The 20,162-nt window shown below is 43.6% G+C and overlaps 1 protein-coding gene and 2 non-coding genes across 6 annotated transcripts in view; 1 reads left to right on the top strand and 2 right to left on the bottom strand.

Annotated features, from left to right (window-relative positions):
- Window positions 1-20,162, bottom strand: part of GALNT17 (polypeptide N-acetylgalactosaminyltransferase 17) — a 581,456-nt gene that overhangs the window by 392,960 nt on the left and 168,334 nt on the right. The window lies entirely within an intron of this gene.
- MIR3914-1 (microRNA 3914-1) lies at window positions 12,870-12,968 on the top strand. Its single transcript, NR_037477.1, has one exon. It is a non-coding gene; the product is annotated as a microRNA 3914-1 (primary transcript).
- Window positions 12,872-12,966, bottom strand: MIR3914-2 (microRNA 3914-2). Its single transcript, NR_037479.1, has one exon. It is a non-coding gene; the product is annotated as a microRNA 3914-2 (primary transcript).

Genomic DNA, 20,162 nt, shown 5'->3' with positions numbered 1-20,162 from the left:
AAATACACATCCAATTCTTCATAAAAAGACCCTCTTGGCAAGATCCCATTTACTTAGATGTAGATTTCTTCCTTTAAGAACTTATCTGATGCCAGGCATGGTGGCTCACATCTGTAATCCCAGTGCTTTGGGAGGTCAAGGCAGGAGGACTGCCTGAGCCTAGGAGTTCAAGACCAGCCTGGGCAACATAGCAAGACTCCATCTCTAAAAAAAAAATTTTTTTTTTTTTTTCAAAATTAGCTGGGCACAGCAACATGCACCTGTAGTCCCACCTACTTGGGAGGCTGAGGGAGGAGGATTGCTTGAGCCCAAGAGGTCGAGGTTGAAGTGAACTGTGATTGTGCCACTGCACTCTAGCCTGGGTGATGGAGCAAGACACTATCTCAATTTAAAAAAAAATTATCTGAGGTGGCACATTACATTTTTGTTCAGCAAATGCAGACTGCCCTCTTCTCATGCACACAATTCAGGGGAAGAGTATGCATGTGAAGAGGGCAGAGAGTATGTATCTGCTCAACAAAAACATCTTCACGCCACTAATGTTGGACTTGATCATTTGCTGAGCTGAGTGTACTTCCCCACCCACAGCCTTTGAGCTTGGCCACGAGACTTGCTTTAGCCAACAAAATACTAGGGATGTGTCATGAGCAGAGACTTGAAATGAGCTTGCATTGCTGCTTCTAGCCTCTTCATCCTGACATCACCATGACAACATGCTTTGGGATGCCCACTGATCCAAGAAGCATGAGACACATGAAACAGTAAGATCCAATCTGTGGCTTAGAACCAAGCCCAGCTGAAAACCCAGATCAGCCAAACCTCAGCTTACCCAAAGATATGTGAGAGTAAGAAATGATTCAAGAACAACTCACTTATACATGTACGGCTTGAGCAACAAAGGATGTTGAATGTTGGTGTTATTGATTGAGATGGAGAAGGGGGAGAAAAGGGACTTGGGTTATGAAGGGATGTAACATGGAATCAAGAGTTTGGTTGGGACATACAACATTGGAGGTGCCTAGTAGACATCCAAATGAAGCTGTCAAGTACATGGGAGTTCAGGAAAGAAGTCAGAATTGGAGATAGAAAATTGGGATTCACCACAGTCTAAATGGAGTTTAAAGACAAGTTCCTTGAGGAGAAGACCTGGGCAGTAGAAACACACAAAGAGAAAGGGGTTTGAATACTGAGCCCTGGACACACCAACTGATAGAATCAGAAAAAGAAAGGCCAAGCAAAGAAAACAGAAGAACGTAGAAGGAAACCCTGGAAATGGTAGATTCCAAGAATGGACCTTTGCATTTGGTAAAGCCAATGCATTGGTGATGTTCACAGCACCAATTTCAGAAAACCAAAACCTGGGTAGATTCAAGAGAGAACAAGAGGCAAAGAACAGAAGGCAGCAGAAAGAGGCAATTTTTCCAAAAAGTCTGCTGTAAGAGGGCAGATAAATGTGGAACTACTGCTATTCTAGTGATCATGCTAGAAAAACAATTACCATGACAGAACAAAAAAAAGAAAGAAAGAAAGAAAGAAAGAAAGATAAACAAAAATAGCTCAGCAAGCTGAGGATGTGGTTCAGACATTAGGATAACACCAAGGAACCCAGAAACCTAGATCCCTGGGCCTACTTCACCCTGGTCAGCCCTGGTCAGCCCAATGACCTTGGACAGATCCCTTCCACAAGAAACTCACATGCGTACAATGGGGATGTGGATTCAAGAAGGTCTAAGACCGCTGGAGCGCTTGGATTCTATGCTCCTCTCTGCAACTCCGTACTGAATTTATTGTTCTTGGGAGGAGAAGATCTGGAAGCCTTTAGGGGTTTCATGAATTACAGAACATGTGCATCCTGCATCCTAAGAGGTCCTAAGGTTGAAATGCCAGTTTCCATCTCCAAAGAGCTGCAGGGGGCCGCAAGAGGTGGCTCACATCTGTAATTCCAGCACTTTGGGAGGCTGAGGTGGGTGGATCACAAGGTCAAGAGATTGAGACCATCCTGGCCAACATGGTGAAACCCTGTCTCTACTAAAAATACAAAAGAAAAAAAAACTTAGCTGGGCGTGGTGGTGCATGCCTGTAGTCCCAGCTACTCGGGAGGCTGAGGCAGGAGAGTCGCTTGAACCCAGGAGGCAGTGGTGGCAGTGAGCCGAGATTGCACCACTGCACTCCAGCCTGGTGACAAAGCAAGACTATATCCCACCCCCCACACACACACAAAAAAAAAAGAGCTTCAGGGAATGGTCGTAGGAAGAATGCCTCAGCTGCTCTTCTTTCTGGTGACAGATGAGGCTATAAGCAAGAATGTGGAATGACATGACTGTGTCTCCAACATCAGCAGATTTCCAAAGCCTGCATTATCTAAGTTCTGTGATTCCCTGTGACCCATGCAGATGAAAAAATGTGAGGTCCCACTGCCTGATTGAAAACTCAAAGGCTGGGAACAGTGGCTTATGCCTATAATCCCAGTACTTGGGAGGCCAAGGTGGGAAGATCACTTGAGGCCAGGAGTTTGAGACCAGTCTGGCAACATGTTGAGACACCATCTCAACAAAGAATACAAAAAACTAGTCGGGCGTGGTCCCAGCTATTCGGGAGGCTGAGGTAGGAGGATCACTTGAGCCCAGGAGATCAACGCTTCAGTGAGCTGCAATCACACCATTGCACTCCAGCCTGGGCCACAGGGTGAGAACCTGTCCCCCTCTCCCACCCCAAAAATTATGAATAATAAAAACTCAAAGCACTACAGCATCACAGAAACCAGAAAAAAGAAAGGAAGAAGCCAAATTCTTCTTTATCTAAACAGACCCAGATATAGTAATATAAAGACACTAGCTTAGGGTGTATCCGCCAGATGTACAAGTGGTAAAATCCAACGTCTTGGAGAATTGATAAATTCAACAGACCAAAAATAACTCCCTGAATAAATAAGAAATGACCAAATACACAGAAACCCAGACTGTCAGGATCATCCAAGGCCACTCCAGCCCTCCACGTTGTGGCCAGTTCAGAATCCAGCTTTAGAATAAACACCTGCAGAGGTCCACACTCAGCCATGATCCCCCCAGAGCAGCCTGCCCCATTGGGCTCACATCCTAAGCTAGCATCTTTATGCTGTTCTATCTGGGTCCCAGCCTCAAACGATCCTTCCACCTTGGCCTCCCAAAGTGCTGGGATTACAGGCAAGAGCCACCACGCCCAGCCTTTGAGTTTCTAATCAGGCATTGCTCTTTAAGTAGAATCAACGTCTGCAACATCTTATACCTTCTAGATATTGGTCCTAATTCTGCCTGTGAACATGCCAACAAAGCTGATTTCCTAAGAGCTCAGTGTCACGGTGATTCTCAGAGCACGAGGCATCATCTGACCAGGCAGATTCCTCAATCTTCACTATTCCATCACTCACCTGGTCTGCCTCTAGCTGTTCCAGGTGACTTCAGCTCCTTCCCTTGCTAGAGTTCCCAGATGAGAAAAAGAAACAGCAGGCACGTTGGGGGTAAATATTCCATAAAGAAACATACGGCCCTGTCTCTCATCATGGTTAACAGACTTGCCCAGCTCAAGCCGGAGGCCGCAGGTGTGTGCAGGTGAACAAGACAAACAGTTGGGATATTTCACTCAAGGGAGATGGATGTGAACACACACCTTCCATGCCCCAGTTATCCTCCACCTCTGAAAAAAATAACCTCAATGGCCAGAGTTTGTGGAAAGTCTTTGAAAAACATCCTGAATGTATTGTTTTTGGTGGGAAAAGCTCTGGAACCCTTTAGGGGTTTCATGACCTACAGAACATGTACATCCTAAGAGGCCCCAACATTGAAATGCCAGTTTCCATCTCTAAGGAGCTTCAGGGAATGGACGTGGAAACAATCCCTGTATCACTCTTCTTTCTGGTATCAGGGTCACTCTCCCAGGTGTGCACCTCTTAGCCCAGGCCAAAGCCAAGCCCTTCAGGTGTGAAGTAAGCAGGCCTCCCTAGGTATGCGGGTATGGGTGGTACCATCAGCCTTTCCTCCCTCCAGCAGGTCAGCTGGAGCTGCCCAAGCTACATGGTGCTTATTTAGAAGTCCTGGAGGAGCCCTTTACTTTGGGATCTATTTGTTTATATCCTTCTCTGCTGCAAACCTCACAATAATCAAAGCCAAAATCAGAAATTGCAAGACCAACAAATAATTGAGAAGCAACACAACCAAATTATGGATCAATACTATGCTGGTTAATGATCTGAGGCAGGCGTGAGAAGATACTATGTACAGATGGTCTTGAGGACTTCCCAGTCGCACCCCACCTTGTTCAGCTTGAGTGACCAGAGCCAAGACCCAGCCCACCCTGTTCCATTCTCCCTCTGATCAGATCCACAGATCCACAGATCAGGATCCTGATCAGACCCACAGATCAGGATCCTGATCAGACCCACAGATCAGGATCCTGATCAGACCCACAGATCAGGACCCCAGGCGGCCTGCGAGGCTCCTGCCTTCCTCCCTTTGCTCCTGCTCCATTTCCAGTTGCAAGCACAGAGGGAAGTCTGGTGGCCCTGCAGAGGCCCCAGCTGTTGCACTGGACACAATCTCTCTGCCCAATGCTTGCTTGTTGCATTACCTTACATAAGTTGGTTTCCCTGTGTTCACATTCCAAGGAGAATCATATGGCCCTCTCACCGTAGTTGACAGACCTACCCAGCTCAATCTGGAGGCTGCAGGTACGTGCAGGTGAACAAAACAGTTGGGATATTTCACTCAAGGGTGATGGACATGGACACACACCCTTCCATGTCCCAGTTATCCTCCACCTCTGAGAAAGTGCCCTTGATGGTCAGAGTCTGTGGAAACAGTCTATGAAGAACACAGACTCTATGTTTCACAGCACTCTGCACCTGCCCTTGAGGCCGCACTCAACATTTTCCCCACCAACTCTTGCGGAAGAACCTCAGGGTTCCAGTCTCACACTTGATCATATAGCCTTAACCTCAGTGATTGCATGTTTTTTCTCTCTTCCCATATATGTTAAACTCTCAGAGTCTCCATTTCTTATCCTATAAAGGAGGAATAATGAACACAAGCCCATATAATGGAAGGCACACCAAGAGGACAGCATGGTACTTGGCAAATGGTAGGGGATCCAATTTTAAGTGCTCTCTTGTACATTGTTGATGGGAATGTAAAATGGTGCAGCTGTTTCAGAAAACAGTCTGGTACTTCCTCCAAAGGTGAAACATGGAATTACCATATGATCCAACAATTCCGCTCCTAGGTATGTACCCAACAGCAATGAAAACATGTCCACACAAAAACCTGTACACAAGTGATTCACAGCAGCCTTATCCATCACAGCCAAAAAGTCAAAACAACCCACACGTCCATCAGCTGTTGGATAGATAAACAAAATGTGGTGTATCCATACAATGGAATATGATTTGACTATAAAAAGAAAGGAAGTACCGATAGATGCTACAACATGGATAAACTGTGAAGTCGTTTTGCTAAGTGAATAAAGGCCGACAAAAAAACAAATAGATGTATGCTTCCATATATATGAAGTGTCCAGAATAGGTAACTCCAGAGACAAATAATAGATTAGTGATTGCCAAAGTCAGGGGTGGATTGAGGAGTGACTGCCAATGGGTACAATGTTTGTTTTCAGAGTGATAAAAATATTCCAGAATTAGACAGTGGTGAACTGTAGACTTTTTTAAGGTGAATTTTGATGTTGTTTTTGTTGCAGACAGGGTCTCATCACTCTGTTGCTCTCAATGAATGCTGGAGTGCAGTGTCTGTGCAATCATGGCTCAGTGCAGTCCTTAACTCCTGGGCTCAAGCGATCCTCCCACCTCAGCCTCCAGAGTAATGGGACTACAGGCATGTACCACCACACCACGCTAATATTTGTTTTTAATTTCTTGTAGAGATAGGGGTCTCACTATGTTGCCCAGGCTGGTTGCAAACTCCTGGCTTCAAGTGATCCTTCTCCTGTGGCCTCCCAAAGTAGAGTGAATTTCATGGGATGTAAATTAATCTCAACAAAACAATGGAAAAGAAAAAAACAAAACAAAAATAGAACATGGAGCAAAAATATCGGAAGGGCTCTTTGTCCTTCTTTCCAGACTTTCTGGTTTCCACTTCAAGTTATATGACCATCACGCTTGGAGTGGCCTTTTTGGGTCCTTTGACTAGCACTGAAAGGCCTTGACCTCTTGCTCTGTTGAGTCATTATCCAGTTCTAACACCCTCTCTTTCTCTCTCATTTATCTAAAAGTTCATTCTACTTTTTTGGGGGGCTGCACTGTTCTCCAAATGTCATACTTACATTGCCTAATCCAATGACTATTGCCTAATAAATTAGAAGCAGTTTTGTGTCATGGACACGGACACACACACACACACAGACACACACTCACACACACACTCAATATTCTGGTTTTGGGGAGTAATTAACCACTATAACTTTTCCACTCCATTGTCTGCAGAGCAATAAATTACACATAAAAAAATATTTCAATTGCGTTTGGTTTTGTAAAGACAGAACAATTCACTGTTCTCTACAAGAATGAAGGGTAACATTCGCCTCCATCCCTTGCCCAGAATGGCTAATGGTGAACCCAAATTAAATAATCTTTTTCAAAATCCATTAGGAAGAAGTTCGTTTTTTTCCAAGTAGACAACCTAGTGAGCTCCTCATGAATTTTCCTGACATCTCACATGACAAAAACGTCCCCTTTAATCCCTTCCCAAGGCTAACAACTGCAGCAACTCAACCCTTCACATTTAATTTCCTTTTAAAGCCAGGTTTCTGAGGGGGCTCTGCAACCACCGAAATAGTTACTCTGGAAGGACTCCAGTGAGCAGTAACTGCCTCAAACCCAATATGTAATCATTGTTATGCAAATTGCCTTTATAGAGAGAAACTCAGAGAACCTCTGAGTCAATCAATACACATTCTGTCCCCAGACTAGCTCCCTCTCTTCCCTAATGAGCTTTTACTGAGCTATGGCTCACCATTTTTTAAGGTCAAAAAGTCTCCTTTACAGGATATTCACCTGACACACATTGAAGTTATTTTTTTTCACAGAGCTTCTTTCACGGTAAATAATTATTCTTTCCTAAAGAGAAGCAAGCACTGTTTGTTTGCCCATGTGTCTTTGTTGCTACGGACAGTTGGCCCACTGCAGGAGAAACCTTTGCTCCTCAACTATTATTCTTTTTCATTGGCTCTTTCAAATTTCCATTTACCGAAAGAGTGTCATTGCCAACACTCAGAAACCTGGAGGAAAAAGGTATGAAGATGCAGCCTTGCCTTCCTGGAATTTAAAGTCTAGACAGGGAGCTGAGATAGAATCATTTTGCTGAGGTGGTAAAAATAAAGACTGCTGAGAATAATTTTTGCAATGATTCAGAGAATTGAAAGGTCAATAGAGGCTTAGAATAAAATATTTATGTTCATAATATCCACAGATGTTCCTAGTTCAACAAGTGGAAAAATACTTGGGTTTCTCTATAGGGTGGACTCTGGGATGGGATATATATTTTTAAAGATACGGGGTCTCGCTCTGTTGCCCCAGACTGGAGTGCAGTGGCAGAATCATAGCTCACTACAGCCTCAAACTCCTGGGCTCAAGTGATCCTCCTGCCTCAGCCTTCCAAGTAGCTGGAACTACAGGTACACACCACAATGCCCAGCTAATATTCTTACTATTTTAGTGATGGGGTCTTGCTATGCTGCCCAGGCTGGCCTTGAACTCCTGGCTTCAATTGATCCTCCTGCTTCAACCTCCCAAAATGCTAGCCCTGAGTCTTCTTAATAGCACTTACAAGCTGTTATGGGCTGAATTTTGTCCCATCAAAATACCTATGTTGAATTCCTAACTCCCTGTGCTTCAAAATGTAAACATATTGGAGATGAGCTCTTTAAACAGGTGACTATGTTAAAATGAGGCTCATTAAGTGGACCCTAAGAAGAGGAAGAGACACCAGGGAGATATGCACACAGAGCAAAGACTGTGTGAAGAGGGAGTGAGAAGGTCACTACCTGCAAACCCAGGAGCATGGCCTTAGGAGAAACCAACCCTGCCAGCACCTTCATCTTGGATTTCCAGTCTCCAGATCTGCGAGAAAAATTTCTGTTGTTTAAACCAGACAGTCTTTTGTTATGGTACTCAGAATACACTAATCCACAATCACAGATAATTGTACTCAATTTTCAAGAGTTTTCAGTAGTGATGACATCACGGCAGGAGTTAACATTAAGGTTTTGATGCAGGTAAATAGGATGATAAGAGCTGGTAGAAGTAATGCAGGGCAGGTGAGCCCCAAAGTTGGGACTTGGCCTGGGAGGGTTGTTGGCTTTGCCCAGGAAGAAATTCAAGGATGAGCTGGTGGTGTTGCAACTTTTATTGAGGCATCAGTGCACAGTAGCACGAAGGTCCTGCTCCTTGCAGAGCAGGGCTAACCCCAGGCAGTTTGCCCAGAAGTGCAGCTCAGAGGCAATTTTACAGTAATACTTATAACCACTTTTTAATACCATGCAAATTAAGGCATGGATTATTCAGAAATTTCTAGAAAACAGGAGGTAACTTTAGGGTGTTGCCACAGCCAGGGGCAGTAACTGCCTGGTGTTGCTATGGCAATGGTAAACTGTCACGGCACTCATGGACATGTCTCATGGAGAAGTGCTTTCAGTGCCTCTTCCCTGTTTCAACCAGTCTTCAATCCGGTCCAGAGTCAAGTTCTACCTCCTACCTCAGAAGCAGATGGAGGGACAGCTAGTGTGGAAAGATGAGCAATATGCTAGGCTAATGTTCCTTGCATCTCAGCAATCACCAAAATCCTTCTTAGCTGTAGCATCTTTTGCCTCTCCCACACAGGGACTGGTGAGCAACTGCATGGTGTACCCATCCACATCCCTAATGACTGAATACTCATGTTCCTTCTTCAGCCTATCTCAAGAATAACAAATCAAGGGAAGGCTCTCCCAACTGTGTCCATGACATCACTCTTCACTGAGATGCTGCGCTGCTCATCTCATCCTGGATTGAGAAGAGAGAAGCATGAACTGGGATCCCCCACAGCTTTTTCAATTTTTAAAAAATGTGACTCAGGCCTTAGGTTTTTTTAAAAAAAATTCTTCCTGAATTTGGGCACCACAATGCCCCATTAATTTATTTTTTATTTTTTGTAGAGATGGGGGTCTTGCAATAACAGCACCCTTAGCTCACTTCTTACTGTTAAGCTATCTCCAAACATAAGATGCTTCCCCAATTGATTGACTCACCACTGAGCCCCATTCCGGTATGGCTTAGCCAGAGGGCCTAAGCCAAATGAGTCGGCCTGCCAAACCTAGAGCATGCTATTCCTCCCTGACCAACACCACACACCTTGGGAACCATGCATCCTCATCAGGCCCATCTTTAGGAGAGAAGGTGTTTCCTCATCCCCAACCTCGCCAAGGGAGAAAACGTAGGGTTAACTGGTCAAATAGCAAGCCCAGGCTCCAGATATTGTCAAGGAGCTTCTCCTTCCAGCTTCCTGCAGCTCAGGTTATAAATAAAGTCAGTGGAAAGAAAAATAATATCCATGGAGACTTGCTGAAATGAAATACAGAGCAGCCATTCCTCTTCAGATTTGAAAGTTATTTTGGGAATAAATCTCATCAGCGGCGAGCTGCTCACTGGTGTTACCTCCTGCAAAGCAGGATTTACTGGACTAGTGTCGTGATAGAGAACTACCGTGGTAGTCACTCCCAGCTGTCTTCCTGAGATCCCTTCCTCCACTTCTCCCATTCTCTTCTACACCAGCAGAACATCGCGTGGCATTCCATCCAGCCCAGAATGAAGGACAGAGCCACTTCTCTAGCCCTTTTGTTACTAGGTGTACCTGGGTGACTCTGGTAGGGCCAATAGAAAGGAAAGTCTTCTGAAAAGATTCTGGAAGGATTCATCTTTGCTAATAAAAAGGACTGCCCTTTTCTATCCACCCTGCTTGAGATGCTGGGGTTAGGATACAATGTTTGGATTAGCCATGAAGGAAAGGGAAACATATATGTTGCACTGCTGAACTGCTTGAAGGCATCTGGGACCCCAGGCCACTAGAATCCTTAGGTAAATATTAGGTTGGTGCAAAAGTAACTGCAGTTTTTGCCATTACTTTAAATGCAAAAAACAATTACTTTTGCACAAACCTAATACTAAATGTCCTCATGATCTCAGACAGTGCTACGTGTTCTTCTATTTGCAAACAGATGCAAATAGGCACACGGAATGTGAAGTTACATTTACAAAGACGATGCCATTGAACACATAGTGATATGATTTAGGGAATCCTTTGTGACAAAGTAAGGGAAATTTCTTTAGCGTCTCAGCCCCTGGCAGAGTCATTCTGCTTCTGATTCATTTCATCCTGGAGACATCGTGAACCATATGGATGATATATGTATTCTTCTGTTTTCATGCTGCTGATAAAGACATATCTGAGACTGGGCAATTTACAAAAGCAAGAGGTTTGATGGACTTACAGTTCCACATGGCTAGGGAGGCCTCACAATCATGACAGAAGGCAAGGAGGAGCAAGTCACGTCTTACACAGATGGCGGCAGGCAAAGAGAGAGCTTGTGCAGGGAAACTCCCCCTTATAAAACCATCAGATCTTGTGAGACTTATTCGCTATCACGAGAACAGCATGGGAAAGGCCTGCCCCCATGATTCAATTACCTCCCACCAAGTCCCTCCCACAACACGTGGGAATTCAAGATGAGATCTGGGTGGGGACATAGCCAAATCATATCAATATATTTCTCTCTTAGTGTTGGCTGGTAGAAAGTAGAGGTCCAAGTTTAGAAATAAGTATTCTAAACATTTCTGGCAAATGCGCTAAACATCACAGCATATGCAGTTTGTATTTACATGACCCCAAATTCATCCCCACTCTCCCTCCACCCTTTATTATGGGAATTCCTTAACATAACTCTTATTATCATTATAATATCCTATATTCATAGGAATATTCCTCTAGTATGTAACTTGAATACTATCTCAAATAATTCTTGAAATTAATAAGCAAATGTAAATAAAAGGATAGCTTGGGGGACAACTTTTGCAGTAAATGACACGACAAAAGTGTAGACAAAAGTTATGCGAACCCAGACGAAGGCATGGTTTTCTCTCCTTGGTCTCGGCAGGGAGCATGCATGGCTTCCTCAAGGAGATAACATTTGGATGTGGTCTCAGAGGGGTGGAAACTCCTTCCCAGCAGAAGGGAAAGCGTGTGCCTCAACTCACATAAGGAAGAAGCAAATTTAGCAGGGAATGAGATGGGAGGCAGGTAGCTGGGCAGGATGGCAAGGCTGGAAAGACAAACAGGAATTAGACTGCCAAGGGTCATGGATTTATTCACTGAGTCACAGTGAACCAAGAAAGGTTTTGAGTAGGAAAGAGAAAAGAAATGATCAGGTCTGGATGCAATGACAGCATAAAAATGACTGACAAGAGTTGGAAAAATGGCACTGAAGGGAAAAAAGACTAGGTAGAGGGTGACATCAGCTGTCCAAGTCAGACTCAAAAGGATTTGAGCTAGGACAAGTGGTGGATAGAGAGTAAAAAGAAATGAGCTGGGCGCAGTGGCTCACATCTGTAATCCCAACACTTTGGGAGGCCGAGGTGGGCAGATCACCTGAGGTCAGGAGTTCGAGACCAGTATGGCCAACATGGTGAAACCCCGTCTCTACTAAACATACAAAAATTACCCAGGCGTAATGGTGCTTGCCTGTAATGCAGCTACTTGGGAGGCTGAGCCATAAGAAATCCGTTGAACCCAAAAGGCAGAGGTTGCAGTGAGCTGAGATCGTGCCACTGCACTCCAGCCTGGGCAACAGAGCTTGACTCTGTTTCAAAAAAAAAAAAAAAAACTAAAGAGAAATGAAAGGCACTTCCAAAGCAGAGCCCAGAGCAGTTGCTGGCTTGTCTTCCCCAATACCTGTCACATCCCTTTTCTCATTGCATCCATGTTTATTTATCTCGTGCAAAGTGCCTGAAGCTGCAAGGTTCTGGGGATACAGAGGGGCTCTTGATCTAGCCAGGGGGACAGACAATTCCAGAGGAGCCTAACAAAGAGAGGATGCTGAAGATGTAAGTCCTAAATCAAATGGAGGGAGGGCAGTGAATTTGGTATAGAATGTTCGAAAAATCCTATTCATTCCCTCCCTACTCCTGAGAAACACATAGTGATCCTGTGACATCAGCCCCAATGCCTCTTTTGAAAGCAGTTCTATAAAAGGCAATGCCAAGGAATGAGAATGGAAACCGAACAGTCTGGGTGTGGGATGACCCTTGGCAACACGGGTGAGATCACACCCTGCCTTGGTCCCGGCACTGGCAGCCAGGATCTGCTCCCACCGAGCTGCAATCCAATGCTTCTTTCTTCCTCTGCAAATATCCTTCAAGGCTTGACAAATGTGAGTCACCACGACAAGAATAGTGCCATTCCTAAATAGCAGGTCTTTATATACTTTGTTTCCTTGCTCCTATTTGCTACTTTGTCACTAAGCTTTCCAGACAACTGCCCCCATGCAACAAACTCCCCTCTGACCCGGAGCCTTCAGACTTCCCAGAATTGGATGAAATGGAAAACACACAAGACCCCTGAATCAGGCTCAATGAGGCACGTCCCACCTACCCACCTGCTGTGCCCCTTTTCTCCCAAAGGTCTCAGTGTGGCCTCTTTCTAATAACCAGAAACTGTGATCTAAGCATCCCAATGAAGTAACCTTTACAATCTCCCAGAGCCAGAGAAATGCACAAATGAAAAGAAAAAAAAAATGCTTCACTCATAAGCATTGTTCTATTCTAAAAATAGTGCTCTAACCAATACTCACCAACCACTTGGACTTCAGATTTAACTTCTCATTTTCTGGTTCCTTCTAATGAGTATGCTTAACTTGGTAGAAGGAACCAGAAAATGAGAAGTTGAGTAGGAACTCTACTGCTACTCCAGAGACAGGTCTTAACGGAGCACAGAGTGGGTGCAACCAAGGAAGACTTCCTAGAGGTGGGGCTATGAAGACCAGGAAGTCTTCCTCGATTGCATCCACTCTCTGCTCTCTTAAGACCTGTCTCTATCATAGCACTTGATAAGCTGTATTATAATTTTCCGTTTAGATGCCCGTCTCCTCCAACAGATTGTGAGTTTCCTCTCTCATGGCAGAAAGTGGGTCTTATTGCCTCTGTAAGCCAGCACCTAGTGTAATAACATATACCCAGCAGGGTAAAACGTATACTCAAAAATGTGACATAAACCACAATGAGATACCACCTCACACCCATTAAAATGGCTACTGTCAAGAAAACAAAATAACAAGTGTTGGCGAGGATGTGGAGAAAGTGGTACCTTGTGCACGGCTGATGGGAATGCAAAATGCTGCAACCCCTATGGAAAACAGTATGGCGGTTCTGCAAAAAGTTAAACATAGAATTACCACAGGATCCAGGAATTTTACTTCTGGGCATAAACCCCAAAGAAATGAAAGCAGGGACCAGGGGTGGTGGCTCACGCTTGTCATCCCAGCACTTTGGGAGGCCAAGGTGGGCAGATCACTTGAGGTCAGGAGTTCAAGACCAGCCTGCCCAACATAGTGAAACCCCATCTCCACTAAAAATACAAAAATTAGCCAGGTGTGGTGGTGGGCACCTGTAATCCCAGGTACTCGGGAGGCTGAGGCAGGAGAATGGCATGAACCCAGGAGGCAGAGGCTGCAGTGAGCTGAGACTGTGCCACTGCACTCCAGCCTGGGCAACAGAGCGAGACTCTGTCTCAAAAAACAAAACAAAACAAAACAGAAATGAAAACAGGGACTTGAACAGATATTTGCACACTCATGCTCATAGTAGCACTATTTGCAATAGTCAGTAGGTAGAAGCAACCCAAGTACCCATCAACAGATGAATAAACAAAAGAGGATACATTAAGTTGGTGCAAAAGTAATTTCTGTTTTTTGCCATTACTTTCAATGGCAAAAACAGCAATTATTTTTGCACCAGCCTAAGATGTAAACATACAATGGATTATTATTCAGCCTTCAAAAGGAAGGAAATCCTAACACATGCTACAACTTGAATGAACTTTGAGGACGATATTCTAAGTGAAATAAACCAGTCACAAAAGGACAATTACTGTATGATTTCACTTAAATGAGGTATGTAGAGTAGTCAAATTCTAGAGACAGAGAAAGAAGAATAGTGGGGGGCGTTGACAGCAGGTAGGGGGAGTTATTGTTTAATGGGTACAGAGCTTCAGATCTGCATGATGAAAACAGTTCTGTTGCCCAAAAATGTGTATATACTTAACGCTACTGATATATGCACATATAAATTGTTAAGATGGTAAATTTCATGTTATGTATGTTTTACCAAAATTAGAATTTATTTTATTTTATTTTGAGACAAATCTCACTCTGTCACCCATGCTGGAGTGCAATGATGCGATCTTGGCTCACTGCTATTTCTGCCGCCTAGGTTCAAGTGATTCTCCTGCCTCAGCCTCCCAAGTAGCTGGGATTACAGCCACGCACCACCACACCCGCCTAATTTTAGTATTTTTAAGTAAAGATGGAGTTTAGCCATGTTGGCCAGGCTGGTCTCGAGCCCCTGACCTCAAGTGATCCGCCTGCCTCAGCCTCCCAAAGTGCTGGGATTACAGGCGTGGGCCACCATGCCCGGCCTAATTAGAAATTTTTTAATTGTAAATCAGGACACTCTCTTGCTTAAAGCTTCCAGTGGCTTTCCACGGTACCTGGATTTTTTTTCTTTTTTTAAGTGGCAGAATGAATTGGATGATGTCAGAGGAAGAGTCTTCTAAGGCCAGTCCGTGGAGTTAGTAATTATCTCTCTTCGAATCCAAAAGGTTCATTGAGATATGGAAACTTCTCTGGCTCTGGGTGACATCAGGTCGCCAACCTAGTAAGTCCTTTACTGCTGACCCCGCACTGGACTGAGATGACAACTTCCTGGAGGGGCCCTCCCCCGTCCCCTCACCGTTGTCATAACACCCACCAAACTCACAGTCTGGGGAGGAGAAGGGGCTTACAGAGGTCCTGCTTTCAACACAAAGACCAAAGACATCGCCATGAAATGAGAGCCCAGATTTTAAGAACAACTGCTAACAATTTCACTACTCTGAATTTCCGGGACTGAATCTGCCATCCCAGGGGGTAGAAAAATTTATCCTTGCCGTGGGTTAGTTGAAAACAAGAAAATTTTGGTGCTTTAGCCTGCAGCTGGATTTGATCTACAATTTAAGGAGAATTGCCCCAGGAATAAAGTAAAATAAAAATCTGCTAACTGAAGAAGTTTTCCATTAGCATTTACCACTAGTTCTGCAAATGGGAGTACTGGCGGGAAAAACTATCCCAAAAAACTAGCAAAATTAACATGTGCTCAAAGTATTTTTGCTCCAAATAGGATTATATGTGATAGAAGAAAAATAATAAAGTCAAGGATTAAGGTATTTAATTTTATATATCCATAACTATATCTGTAATTGTATCTATAGCTACATCTACCTCTACCCCAAACGTGTTCTATGCATCTCCTTACACAGAAAGAATTGCTAGGCTTCTAGGTAAAATATTGGACTTGTGTGGCTCACGCCTGTAATCCCAGCACTTTGGGAGGCCAAGGCAGGTGAATCACGGAGGCCAGCCATGGCCAACATGGTGAAACCCTATGTCTACTAAAAATACAAAAAATTAGTCAGGCATGGTGGCGGGCACCTGTAATCCCAGCTACTTGGGAGGCTGAGGCAGGAGAATCCCTTGAACCCAAGAGGCGGAGGTGAACCGAGATCGTGCCATTGCACTCCAGCCTGGGCAACAAGAGCAAAACTCCATCTCAAAAAAAAAAAAGAAAAAAGAAATACAGGACTTGTAGGTAAAACTGGCAATGGGTTCTCACTTAGCAGACCACTTTCCAACAAAAACACTGTAGTGGGAAGTGCAAAACTAACTTATCTGAACTGTAGGGATCCCCTTGACACAAATAAGCAAACACAGGCCACTTGCATCTTGGGAGCCTGGTAAATTGAGTGGTTCCCAGTTGATAGACCTTGACATAGCCCAAGAATGATGCCCTTGGAGTGTTTCTTAACAAAAACATGCATGCAGCGCTGTCATCAAAACCTTCTCCGTTTTCAGTGGCTTATTCCTTGACAATGTATTTAAGATCATACGGTAATTTACCCAAAGGGGCAAAGGGGAAGAGACAACATCTGTACCCACTTTGTCACCCACTCCATGCCTTCAGTTTCTATATACGCACTGATGAATACTTAATCCACCTCTGAACGCCGTTTCAGTTAACTTAGCGTCTGTCGAATATATACAGATTAAACTATGCTGGCACGTTGTAAATGTTCAAAAAGTATCTGTTGGGTAAAAGAACAAATGCATCACTGCATTGAATGAATGAAGACTGCTCATTCTCTGATGAAGGAAAGCTTGCAAAAATCAACTACGTGGTTCCCCTAATTGCAGAAACTAGGTGTGGCTTTATTCAACCAACAAGGTGTGCTCAAGGGTATTGAGCAGAAATTAGAGTGAAAAGCTCTGTCTACATTCTTGAGGGACAAGCTTATTTAGTATTTTAATTGGCTCAAATATGCAAGTGTGCACCTTGAGACTCCTGGGGCGAAAGAAAAGCCGATTGTTTGCAGTCTCCAGATCATTTTAACATGGTTGTTTTTAAAATACTTGCCTTACAGCTGCCCCGGAGGCGTTTAGCTATTATTTGGATCCTGCAGAGAAAAATGCACCAAGTTTTGCTGTCAGACTTCCAGAAAGAGAAATTCAAAGGGCTAATCTCAAATGTTTGAGGTCAAGCCTTGCAAGGAATGTGGCTCTTCATCAAATTTAATGGCTTCTTTAGAGGGGAGTCCAGCCCACTCTGAGTCATGAAGAAAAAAAAAGGCAGTAATTCTCCCAGACCAGAGAATGCGTAAATCACTTCCAAGCAACAGGTCGACGTGCTGAGTATTAGTAATCACTGTATTAAACAAAAAAGAGAATCTGACATCTTTCTAGCACAAGTCAGAAAAATGTTGTATTTGACCATGAATTTTTCATCTTCAAGTGTCCCAATGTCTATTCAAATGGCCCTCATCCATTTACACAGACCCCACCAATTCAAACTTAGGGATCATTCATTCAAAAAAGGCTGGTTAATTTCACCTAGATATCATTTACGAAGGAAATGAAAATAAAGCAATTAAGTGGTATATATAAGATATAAATACCAGCCTGGACAACATGGCGAGATCCCATCTCTACAAAAAAAAATATAAATTAGCTGGGTGTAGTGGTGTTCACCTATAGTCTCTGCTCCTCAGGAGAGTGAGGTGGGAAAATCTCTTGAGCCCAGGTCAAGGCTACAGTGAGCCATGATTTCACCACTGCGCTCCAGCCTGGGCAACACAGCGAGAACCTGTCTCAAAAAAAAAAAAGGCTGGGTGCAGTGGCTCATGCCTGTAATCTCAGCAATTTGGGAGGCTGAGGTGGGTGGATCATGAGGTCAGGAGATCAAGACCACCCTGGCCAACGTGGTGAAACCCTGTCTCTACTAAAAATACAAAAATTAGCCGGGCATGGCAGCACGTGCCTATAGTCCCAGCTACTTGGGAGGCTGAGGCAGGAGAATTGCTTGAACCCAGGAGGTGGAGGCTGCAGTGAGTCAAGATTGAGCCAACACACCACTCCAGCCTGGGCGACAGAACGAGACTCTGTCTCAAAAAAGTAAATATATACATATATGACTCGCCTAATCCACTGAAGCTATCATAGTATGTTAATTACATGCATAAAAATTGCCGTTCCTAATAACAAATGAATACCCCATGTTGAAAGGGGGAAGTTCAACAGACTCTCAATTTAGTCCATTTTTTAAAGAGCACGGTTATGCTATGCTGCTGAAAATAATGAATAAGACCCAGTAAAGTAGTCTTTCCAGCTTTCATCAATTCAGCCTAGCTTTGTCTCCCCATTACAGTGACGTTCTATGAGATTACAGTGCCTGAGCTCAGAGGCAACAGACAAGGAGACCTAGGTCCCTGGGACAACAAGGAGAGTGTGTGCACATGGCCCTGCACATGTACGCTAGTATCTTTCAGGTCCTGAAATTAGCACACATTATTCGAAGGCCGCCATGTAGAGAACTCTCATTTTGAAATATGACACAGCTGAAGCCCCATGCCAGTGCACTTGAGCCTGGACAGCATACTGAGACTCTGTTACCTAATTTTTAAAAATATTTTATTTTAGGTTCTGGGATACACGCACAGGATGTGCAGGTTTGTTACATACATAAACATGTGCCATGGTGGTTTGCTGCAACTATCAACCCATCACCTAGGTATTCAGCCCCGCATGCATTAGCTATTTTCCCTGATGCTCTCCCCACCCCTGCCCTCTCCCAACAGGCCCCAGTGTGTGTTGCTCCCCTCCCTGTGTCCATGTATTCTCATCGTTAAGCCCCTACTTATAAGTGACAACACGCGGTGTTTGGTTTTCTGTTCCTGCATTAGTATGGTGAGGATAATGGCTCCCAGCTTCATCCATGTCCCTGCAAAGGACATGATCTCATTCCTTTTTATGGCTACACAGTATTCCATTCTTGCTACATGTATTATAAGACACATGGTTTGTGATGACATTTTGTACCTACTTACACTATTTTCTCAAAGTCTTTCAAAGTCACTGTCAATAGCAGGTTCTTCACCTTCCACCCCTGCATATAAAGCAGAAACCGCCTATAAAGGGTTCATTCAAAAGACAGTGAAATTCTTTTTTGCCTTTGTGTACTTTGTAATTTACCTATCCTTTACATTATTCATTTTTATTTCATTTTCGTTTAGTTTTTTTTGTGGTAAGAACCTTTCACACAAGATCTATCCTCTTAACAAATTTTTAAGTGTCCAATACTGCGCACACTTGTGTATTTGGGCCAAATTAAAGTACTAAATGAGTTTATGCCTCAACTATAAGTACAATGCTGCATATTGGGTAACTAGAACTTATTCATCTTACTTAACTGAAATTATACATCAGTTGAAAGACAGAAAAAAGGACTACAAGACTAACAGCAACACAATGGCAAAAGTAAATCCCTCTCTATCAATAATTACTTTTAAAAAAGTAATTATTTTTTATAATAATTAAACAATATTTAAAATATATGTTATATATTTTATTATATACATATTTAAATATATATTTTATTATATATTATTATATATAATTATTAGTATATATTAAATATATATTTTAATATAATAATTAAAAAATATTTTTTAAAAAGTATTATTACTTTAAAAAAAAAGTAATCAGGCAGGGTCTCACTCTGTCATCCAGGCTGGAGTGTAGTGGAGCGATCTTAGCTCACTGCAGCCTCGAACTCCTCGGCTGAAGGGATCCTCCCACCTCAGCCTCCCGAGTAGCTGGGACTACAGGCGGCACCATCACGTGTGGCTGATTTTCTTAATTTTTGTAGAGATAAGGTCTTGTTATGTTGCCCAGACTGCTCTTGAACTCCAGGGCTCAAGGGATCCTCCCACCTCTGCCTCCCAAAGTACTGGAATTATAGATGTGAACCACCATGCCTGACCTCAATAATTACTTTAAATATAAATACATTAAACACTGTTCATTTTACAAATAGCTTCTGTAAAAGTGGAATAAGTGGTTGATGATACATTACCGAAAATAACTGAGTCCAGCTTCCAAGGCCCTCAGAATAGCTGACATTTCCCCAGCCCCGGCCAGAGAGGGGAGAGAGGGTCTGGAAGTTCAAGGCCAGCCCCAAGTCCACCTCTGGAATGTACCCTGCAGGCCTCGGCTGTGCAAACAGAAAGTCCTAGCTGAGAGGAGACGCAGTGATGGGAGGCGTGTTTAGAATTCTGGAAATCCCTTTTCTCTGCTTCCTCTTTTAGAAATATGATGCGCAATTTTTAATTTTTCCTAGCAGCATGTTGATAACCATGTGTGTTTGTGTGTGTGGTTGTGTGTATGTGCACGCGCATGCATGTGTGTGTGTAGAAAACAAATGACTTGCTTTCCAAGCTAGGAAGAACAGCTGTTTCTCACTTATTAGGATGAGAAAATAACCCACCTCCATTTGTTATCCTGTCCAAGCT

This window comes from Homo sapiens, chromosome 7 (genome assembly GCF_000001405.40).
Source record: "Homo sapiens chromosome 7, GRCh38.p14 Primary Assembly".
Classification (NCBI taxonomy): domain Eukaryota; kingdom Metazoa; phylum Chordata; class Mammalia; order Primates; family Hominidae; genus Homo; species Homo sapiens.
This window is presented reverse-complemented; position numbering and strand designations above follow the sequence as displayed.